Source organism: Homo sapiens, chromosome 2 (assembly GCF_000001405.40).
Source record: "Homo sapiens chromosome 2, GRCh38.p14 Primary Assembly".
NCBI lineage: Eukaryota > Metazoa > Chordata > Mammalia > Primates > Hominidae > Homo > Homo sapiens.
Window position 1 is genome coordinate 73,751,270 of NC_000002.12, and position 9,889 is coordinate 73,761,158.

At 45.2% G+C, this 9,889-nt stretch overlaps 1 annotated feature.

Moving 5' to 3' along the window:
* Positions 2,729-2,912: a silencer, noted in NCBI's record as "fragment chr2:73981125-73981308 (GRCh37/hg19 assembly coordinates)". NCBI's record gives its function as "represses an EF-1alpha promoter that drives an FKBP-Casp9 reporter gene in an ReSE screen in HepG2 liver carcinoma cells {active_cell/tissue: HepG2}" and the evidence as "EXISTENCE:reporter gene assay evidence [ECO:0000049][PMID:32094911]".

The window sequence follows — 9,889 nt, forward strand, 5'->3', positions numbered from 1 at the left end:
GCTTAGAGCAGAGAAACATCTCAGACTGCTATCTGGACTTCTGGTTTTGGTTTGAAGGGTAAGTCACTGCGGTGCACACAGCCATATCTCACTCTCTCTGCTTGCATTGTGAAGAGGGCCCTTTTGGGGGAGTAATAGAATGGTGGACTATGCCCATTTTCTTGTTTGCTTTCCTGTAGGGAGTTTGGTTTTCTGTTTGTGATTTTGTTTTGTTGTTGTTGTTGTTTGGTTTGGGGGGTGTGTGTGTGTGTATCTGTGTGTGTGTGTGTGTGTGGTGTGTGTGTTATGTGAAAAGACTGAACAGGGCAAATTTGGAATTGATCCCAGAGAGTAGCATCATTGGCTGCATTCTCCAGAATTGGGCCACTTTCAGCTATGAGCCCATGAAGAAAAATAAAATTTTTTTAACTGTAACGCTGCTTGGCCTCAATATGCCTTAGAATTTGGGAAAAAATGGCTGACAAACAGTTCTTTAAGTTATGCTACTATAATACAACTGCAACTATTCTGTAAGAGCAGAGAAAATAGGATGCAATCCTGTATGTCCAGGCTTTTATACTCTTTTATCAGAATGAACCTACTCAAAAGAGGTATAATTTGATGCTGCAAAAGGAAAAACAGCCCAAACCTAAGGTTTTAGACTCCCACCATTAGGTGGGGAAGACAGGGCACTGCTTGGTGCTTTGAATCCCCTGAATAATCATCCTGATCCTCTGCCCCCCAGTCAGCTATGGCTCCAGCACCTCCACCTCCTTATGGGATTGTCTGGAGCAGGAGGGGAACACTCCCAAACCTGTCCTCCCCATGGAATTAGGACAGGTTGTGGTCTCGCCTTCCTGCAACTGACAGGAAACCCAATTTGGCCTGGGACCCACTGGTCCCTTAGTAGGGCAGTTTCCTCTGTGTCAATTCCCCACTGTGGGACTTGAATGGACAACAGTTTGGCATGATGTGGTTACATTTCCTTTTCCCACTTTGGAGCTGTTCAGTGGGAAAACAATATCTTTGGAAAAACAATAATCCCCCCTATCCCAACCCAAGCAAATGGCTGGGCTATTCTTGTCTATATTTCTGACCTACCACCCGACAAGGGCAGATACTCACTTTGTTAAAGTGCTGCTCACAGCAGAAGAAAGGCATGTAGTCACAGAAAAGGCTAGGGAAGAAGCAAATCGGCTCCATCTGGAGGCAGGAAACAATCACCCCTGGCCAATAGACTCAGTCCCTAACACAGAGACCAGGTGCGATGTAAATGGTGGGGCCTTTCCCACTTAGGACACTATGAGAACCACATCCTTGAAGGTTTGAGGAAAGGGGTTACTCAGGTTAAGAGCCTCAATAAGGTACAGGAAGTACAGCGGCAAGCATATGAGGACCCTTTGTAATTCCCAGAAAGACTCCATCAGACATGTGGAAAGTAGGTTGACGCTAACTAACCCTGAGGCACCGGACAATCAGAGAATGGTCAATGTGACCTTTATCAGCCACAGTGCCCTGATATTCAAAGAAAACTGCAAAAGGTAAATGGGATCCTTGGGTTGCCAATCTCACATTTAGTGGACTTAGCTTTTAAAGTGTACTATGCTCAGGATGAGGCTCAGGAAAGTGCAAATTGAAGCAACAAGTAACTCACTGGCAGCTGTGCTTGACTACCAACCTAGGGGAAAAGGAAGAAATCAAAGAGCGGCTCACGCCCCCTTCAGAAAAAAAACCAATATGCCTATTGTAAGAAGGAGGGACACTGGAAAAAGGGCTGTCCCAAATTGACCAAAGCAGCTAGCAAGTGCAGTGTCCCTCAAAATCAGATGAGGAGAGAGAATAATATTTAGATGAAGACTGATGTGTCCCAGGGACTCCCTTAGACTTGGAGCAACCAGTGGCTATATCCCCACAGGATTCCTAGATACAACTGACAGTGGGGAACAGAATGATTGACTTTTTACTTGACACAGTGCCACATATTAATTAATTAACAATTGTCTCTCTCCAGCTTTGGGAAAAACCATTACTGTTACACGGATATTGGGAGACACCATTATCCCTTTCTACAATCTTCAGGTTACCATTTACGAGAGACCGGCCTAGGGCATAGTTTCTTGTACATGCTTAATGCCCAGTGCCCCTCCTGGGCTGGGATTTGCTTGCCAAATTGTATGCTCAACTTGTCTTTCCCCCCAGATGCCTAGATATAATGATTCCTTCTGAACAAGTTTGCAGGTTTCAAATACTCCTGCTGCAACCAGAAAACGAAGAGGTTCAGGACATTCCAGAAGAAATTCTCACACAGGTAAGGAGAGATGTTTGGGCCCAAGGGAAGCCAGGGAGAGTGGTCACAGCCAAACCCATAAAAATTAAAAGAGAGACACAGAATACCCATTAAAGGAAGTGGCATGAAAGGGTATTCAACCACTCTTGGAAGGCTTTTTTGGCACAAGGACTGATTTGGTCCTGTAATTCTCCCTTTAACATTCCTGTTCTACGGTGGGCAGCAAGCCACCCAGGTGCTGAGGCAAGAGACCGAGGGCACAAGTTGTTCCAGTATAATAAAATATATAAAACAACAAGAGTTATACTAGATCTAAATCATAGACATGATTATATATGAATATCATTAATCATTAGTTTGTAGCAATTACTCTTTATTCCAATACTGTAATAATCCTCGCTCTATAATCATAACCTAGGAAAAACCAGGCCATACAGAGATAGGAACCGAAGGGACATAGTGAGTGAGAAGTGATCAGAAGACAAGAGTGCAAGCCTTCTGTTATGCCCGGACAGGGCCACCAGAGGGCTCCTTGGTCTAGTGGTAATGCCAGCGTCTGGGAAGACGCCCATTGCCAAGCAGACCGTGGTCTAGCAGTAGCATCAGTGTCAAGGAAAAACACCCGCTACTTAGCAGACCGGGAAAGGGAGTCTCCCTTTCCCTGGGGGAGTTTAGAGGAGATTCTACTCCTCCACCTCTTATGGAGGGCCTGACATCAGTCAGGCCCGCCCGCAGTTATCCGGAGGCCTGACCCTGTCTCCCTGTGATGCTGTGCTTCAGTGGTCACGCTCCTAGTCTGCTTTCAAGTTCCATCCTGTACACCTGGCTCTGCCTTTTAGATAACAGTAGCAAAATTAATGAAAGTACTAAAAGTCTCTGATATGCAGAAATAATGGCGTAAGCTGTCTCTCTCTCGCTCTCCCTCTCTCTGCCTCGGCTGCCAGGCAGGGAAGGGCCCCCTGTCCAGTGGACACGTGACTCACGTGACCTTATCAATCACTAGAGATGACTCACACTCTTTACCCTGCCCCTTTTGCCTTGTATCCAATAAATAACAGTGCAGCCAGGCATTCGGGGCTACTACTGGTCTCTGCATCTTGGTGGTAGTGGTCCCCCAGGCCCAGCTGTCTTTTATCTCTTTGTCTTGTGTCTTTATTTCTACAATCTCTCGTCTCCACACATGGGGAGAAAAACCCACTGACCCTGTGGGGCTGGTCCCTACATCTTACCATCATGCAAGTCCCATTAAGACAACTACAGTTTCGGCTGGGCGTGGTGGCTCACGCCTGTAATCCCAGCACTTTGGGAGGCCGAGGCGGGCGGATCACGAGGTCAGGAGATCAAGACCATCCTGGCTAACATGGTAAACCCCATCTCTACTAAAAATACAAAAAAGTTAGCCAGGCGTGGTGGCAGGCACCTGTAGTCCCAGCTACTCAGGAGGCTGAGGCAGGAGAATGGCTTGAACCTGGGAGGCGGAGCTTGCAGTGAGCCGAAATCGTGCCACTGCACTCCAGGCTGGGTGACAGAGCGAGATTCGTCTCAAAAAAAAAAAAGACAACTACAGTTTGTACAAGACTTAGGGCCAGTAATGAAACAGTCTAGGACATACACCCTATGGTAACTAACCCCTATAGCTTGCTGATCACTTTGTCAGGAGAACTAGGTTGGTTTACAGATTTGGACTGTAAAGATGCCTTATTTTGCATTAGACAAGGAGACACAAGAGATCTTTGAATTTGAATCTCTGAGGCTGGGACACAGGTCAATCAGCAGTACTGTTATCTCAAGGATTTAAAAATTCCCCCACAATCTTTGGGAAATTTTTGGCATGGAACTTAACGGACATCTGGCTGACAGAAGGAACGCTTTTACAATATGTGGATGAAATCTGTGTTGCAAGACCTTCAGAGCTTTCCTTGAAAATACCATTCAAATACTGAATTTCCTAGTGGTAACAGGCTACTGGGTTTCCAAAAAGAAAGCCCAGATCTGCCAAAAGATAGTAAAATACTTAGGGTTTGAACTGAATAAGGGGCATAGAAACCTTCCCCCAGGCCACCTGGAGGCAATCGTCTGGGTAGCTGTCCCCATCTCCTGTAAACAACTGCAACGGTTTCTAGGAATGATGGGATTCTGTTGAATTTGGATTTTGAATTTTGGACTTACGGTAAAACTCCTTTATGAGGCCCTAAAAGGAAAAAATTCTGAGCCCCTGATCTGGACTTCAGAATGCCAAAATTAAAAGTCAAAGAGGCTGAGCACGGTGGCTCATGCTTGTAATCCCAGCACTTTGGGAGGCCGAGGCAGTCAGATCACTTGAGGTCAGGAGTTCGAGACCTGCCTGGCCTACACGGCAAAACCCTGTCTCTACTAAAAAATACAAAAATTAGCTGGGCATCGTGGTGGGTGCCTGTAATCCCAGCTGCTCAGGAGGTTGAGGCTGGAGAATCCAGGAGGCAAAGGTTGCAGTGAGCTGAGATCGTGTCACTGCACTCCAGCCTAAGTGACAAGAACAAAACTCCATGTCAAAAAAAATAAATAAGTAAATAAAATAAAGTCAAAGAAAAGTTAAAGACTGCCTCTTTGCTGGGCCTTCCAGATTTAAGAAAGCCCTCTAATTTAGTTGTGCACAAAAAACAAGCCATGGGCTTGGGTGTCCTAACTCAAAGCTTGGGAACTGACTGAAGACTGATTGCCTATTTCTCTGAACAGTTTGACCAGGTGGTGAGGGTTGGTCCCCCTGCCTCCGAGCAGTGGCTGCAACTTGCAACCTCTTCTAGGAGGCTGAAAAGCTAACTCTAGCTCAGCTCATCACTGTCCACACACTGCATCACATCTCCTGTCTCTTAGATCAAAAAGGTGGATACTGGCTGACCTCTGAGAGGTTGGGAAAATACCAAGCCATCCACCCTCCTTGACAATCCAGAGGTGAAGTTAAAGGTGTTCTCGGTTCTTAACTCTGCTACCTTAATACCTCCAGAGAAGGAGCCAGGGCCCATACAAAATTGCCTTCCAATTAATGAGCAGGTCTTTCCAAGGCAACCAGACCTGGCAGATCAGCCCCTGCTGTGCTCCAAACTAGGACTGTTCACAGATGCAAGCAGCTTCATGGACCATGGACATCATCATGCTGAATTTGAGGTCATTACCTTACAAGGAATTAAGGAAGCCAAAGCCTTATTGCTAGGCACCTCAGCTCAGTGGGCCAAGGTGCCCTTATGCATGCCCTCCAATTGGGTAAGAAAAAAAATTATGAATATTTACATAGACTCCCAATATGATTTCTTGGTGGCACATGCCCACAGAGCTATGTAGAGAGAGGTCTTTTGACTAGCAAAAATAAAGAAATCAAATATACTTCTGATATTTTGGCCTTATTAGAATCTGTAAAAGGCCAGGCATGGTGGCTCATGCCTATAATCCCAGCACTTTGGGAGGCTGAGGCGGGTGAATCACCTAAGGTCAGGAGTTCAAGACCAGCCTGGCCAACATGGTGAAACCTCGTCTCTACTAAAAAATATAAAAATTAGCCAGGCACGGTGACACATGCCTGTAGTCCCAGCTACTTGGGAGGCTGAGGCAGGAGAATCACTTGAACCCGGGAGGCAGAAGTTGCAGTGAGCCGAGATTGTGCCACTGCACCCTAGCCTGAGCAACAGAGTGAGACTCTATCTAAAAAAAAAAAAAAAAAAAAAAAAAAAAAAAAAAAAATCAGTAAATGCCCCCTCTAATAGTGGCTATCATCCACTGTCCCAGCCATCAAAAAGGAGACTCCCGAATAGTCAAAGGAAATTAGCTTGCCGACCTGGCAGCCAAGCAAGCCACAAAAACATTGGACTCTGAGGCTTTCTTAGCCCCACTAATACCTCACAATGATCTGACCAAGTTCCAACCTTGCTATACCAAAGGAGATTTAAAGTGAGCCAAGGAATGGGGATTCACATCCCAGCCCTGGCCCATCCAGGCTGGAAATGTAATCTGGAAGGTATCGTATTGGTTCCCAGTGCCCTCCTTAAAGATATAGTGAGCTAGTTTCATCAAAGCATCCATTACAGAAAAGATGCAACCCTTCAATGGCATGTGAGTTCTTGATTGACCCCGACATGCAATGGGGTCATTCAAAATGTGATCTATCAATGCATGCTTTGTGCCCAAACTGCCCTAAAACTGACCCCACCCCTGTTCAAGGGTACAACATTGAGGAGACTCTCCATGCAAGGACTGGCAAGTTAATTTCACCACAATGCCACGGGTGCCTGGAGGCTACAGGGCATCTTTTTGTACAAAAAACATCTTTTTGTTTTTTGTAGACACATTTACAGGATGGGTAGAGGCATACCCTATCCGAACAGAAAGGGAGCTGAAGTGGCCCACACTATACTAAAGAGATAATTCCCCAGTATGAACTCCCTTTGACGATTCAGAGTGACCATGGTGCGGTGTTCATCTCTCAGGTAGTACAGGAAGTGTCTCAAGTCCTAGACATTGAATGGAAACTTCATGCAGCACAGCCACAGCCCACCGGAAAGACTAAAAAACTGAATCAAACTATTTAAAGAACAATTAGGCCAGGTGTGGTGGCTTATACCTGTAATCCCAGCACTTTGGGAGGCCAAGGCAGGTGGATTATTTGAGCCCAGGAGTTTGAGACCAGCCTGGCCAACATGGCAAACCCCATCTCTACTAAAAATACAAAAAAATTAGCTGGACGTGGAGGCGCATGCCCTTAGTCCCAGCTGCTTGGGAGGCTGAGGCACACGAATTGCTTGAAGCCGGGAGGTAGAGATTGCAGTGAGCCGTGATCATGCCACTCCACTCCAGCCTGGGCGACAGAGTGAGACTGTCTCAAAAACAAAAAAAACAAAAAAACAAAAAAAAAAAACTGCTGCTAAAGTGTGCCAGGAAACTAATCTAACTTGGGACAAAGTACTACCTTCTCTCCTGCTGAGGATTTGGGTCATTCCCTGAAACAGGCTCTAGTTGAGCCCTTTAGAAATTATGTATGAGAGACCCTTCCTAGCCACATTGGGGCTAGATCAGGCTATAAAATCTTAGAAAGGGAAGGAGCTATTAGACATTATTTAAAATTGCTAAATGAAATACCGACTTCTGTTCATGAGTTTGCTTCTTCCCCATGGACAGGCCACCTCACCCTTTCTAGGCTAGAGACCAAGTTCTACTTAAAACCTGGAGGGAGACTGGACTGAATCACCAACTAGCCCCTCAAAGGGTAAGACCCTATGAGGTCCTTCTGACCACGCATTCATCAATTGGGCAGGAGTTAAACCGTGGGTACATTATACCTGGATAAAAATTGCCCCCGCCTCAGCCCGACCTATCAGGTTAATAGACCTGAAAGGACATGTGAACCAACTAAAAACCTGAAGCTGCTTTTGAAGAAAACATCCACAGATAAGTAAAGCCTTCTTGCTAAGCACCACAGTACTATATGGCTTACGGTGTCTGCTGAAACCAATCTTTTCCTACAATGGGCACATTATGCAGATAGCCTACAGAAGCTCGTAGGGTTTGAGGGCTGTTACCTATCTCTAGCATGTTGGTATTACCTTGGTCGGTCTTGCTCTTACAAGGAAACAACTGAGTACAGTAACAAACTTTTATGAAAAACTATTCCAAAGAAAATCAGGTCTCTGGTGTGCTAACACGAGGAAATGTAAGGCTATGGCCTGGCATTAATATAACCCTTCACAACCCAGGTCACAGAAAATCTTTTACTATATATCAGACTGTTCAACGAACTTTTGAATACACTGCTCCTCCTCTCCTGAAGGAATTTCCCTTGGCAGCCCCCCAAATTTTGGCTATTAATAGCCACTATACTGAGGAAGGTTTTTATCAAGCTTGGGATGATTATCTTTGAATGACTGTGTTCCCCTACCCTTATCCTGCCACCGGCCACATAAATCAAATTGCCCCTTTATGTTGGGAACAACAACAAAAAAAAAAACAGCATTCTTATGATAACTGGCCAAATATCACTAAGAATATGGGCTGGATGCTCCCCCCACCAGTGTGAACATACTCCAGGGCTGCAACAAACTGACTGGTTTGCTACCAATTGGACACAGGCCAGGAATTCAATTGGCTAGCTTCATACGGAGTGCAATGGCTATGTGGGACTAATCTTTGGCCCTGATTACCCATTGGCTAGATAGGACAATATGCTCTGGGATTCTCACAGGTCCAGGGCCATTTGGCAAAAACCAACGGACAACCTGGAAATTTCCCAAATGTGTTGCATCAACGGACCAAGTCAGTTTTCCACTGGTATGACCATCCCCTCTCCATTTTTGTTCCCCAAGTTAGTTTAAAAAATGTTATCTGACATGTTGAGATCCTAACAAATTATACCCAGCATGTGCTGAAGGATGCATTCAAAGGCATCTCTTTAGTCACCTCTCAGATGACTATGATGAAAAAAGCAGTTTTGTAGAACCACATGGCCCTTGATGTCTTCACAGCTACACAAGGAGAACTTGTGCCATAATGAAAACTGAATGCTATGTGTACATTCCAGACAATTCAGGAAACATCACCCTGGCCCTTCAAGATATGTACAAACTGATGCTGTGTCCAACCTCATGATGTCACTAAACCAATGATTATCTTAATACTTCCGGTCAGTACCCTCTTGGTGGAAAAAATTACTGGTAATTCTAGCTATGACTATAGGAACAGGAATACTCCTTGGCTGTGGATTATACTGCTGTGGCACTATATATGTGGGATTGCAAGATCGCCCTTCTCAAGCTCCTGACACCCTGTTCAACAATGTTACAACAAAATTGCCTAAGTCCCGGGACATGTGAATATTTTCAACTGCAGGTAAGTAAGTTCCATTCCTCAGCCCCCTAGGAATGCCCCTTGCCAGCGGGAAGTAGTTAGACTGAGTCAACACCCCAACTGAAGATTGAGGAAAGGAACAGTGTCAGTGGGGATACTGTAACCCAGCCTATATTAGAAAAATCATCAGGTGTTTATTTTACTTATTTTTCTTTCTCTGTCCTTAGCTTCCTCCAGGCAGGATCGCTCGCACGTAGTCATTTTGGTAGAGAGCAGTCACTAACAAGTGATTAACTTTATATCCTAACCCCCAGGGGCTGCTTGCAAGATTAACGTACTTGTTTTTCTTTTAAAGAACAATGATCCTTAGGTCATACTGACCTCCCTGATGGCATCCAGAAATTTGACTGGCCAAGGGACACGAGCAGCTTTGATCATCAGGGAAAGCCCCCAATTACATGCAAAGGAAGGTCATATTTGAGAATCTGCTTCTCCCACCCTCATACTTTGGCCAAATTGAATAAACCTTTCTAAGCATTAATGTGTCAGTGTTTGGCTTACTGTGCACCGGGTACATGAACCTAACTTTTGGGGTTCTACAACAGCAACCTGACTGAGCTAATCACGTACAGCCAAGAACAGCTGAGCTACAGTAGCTCCTTAAAATCAGGGTCCAGATGTTGTTCATAGATGAGAGAAGAGAAAATAACTATCACATGCAGCATCAGACATTCAATGACACAAATCCTCAAAATCAGATGCTTTAAAAAATGAAGCCAATGGCTGGGCATGGTGGCTCATGCCTGTAATCCCAGC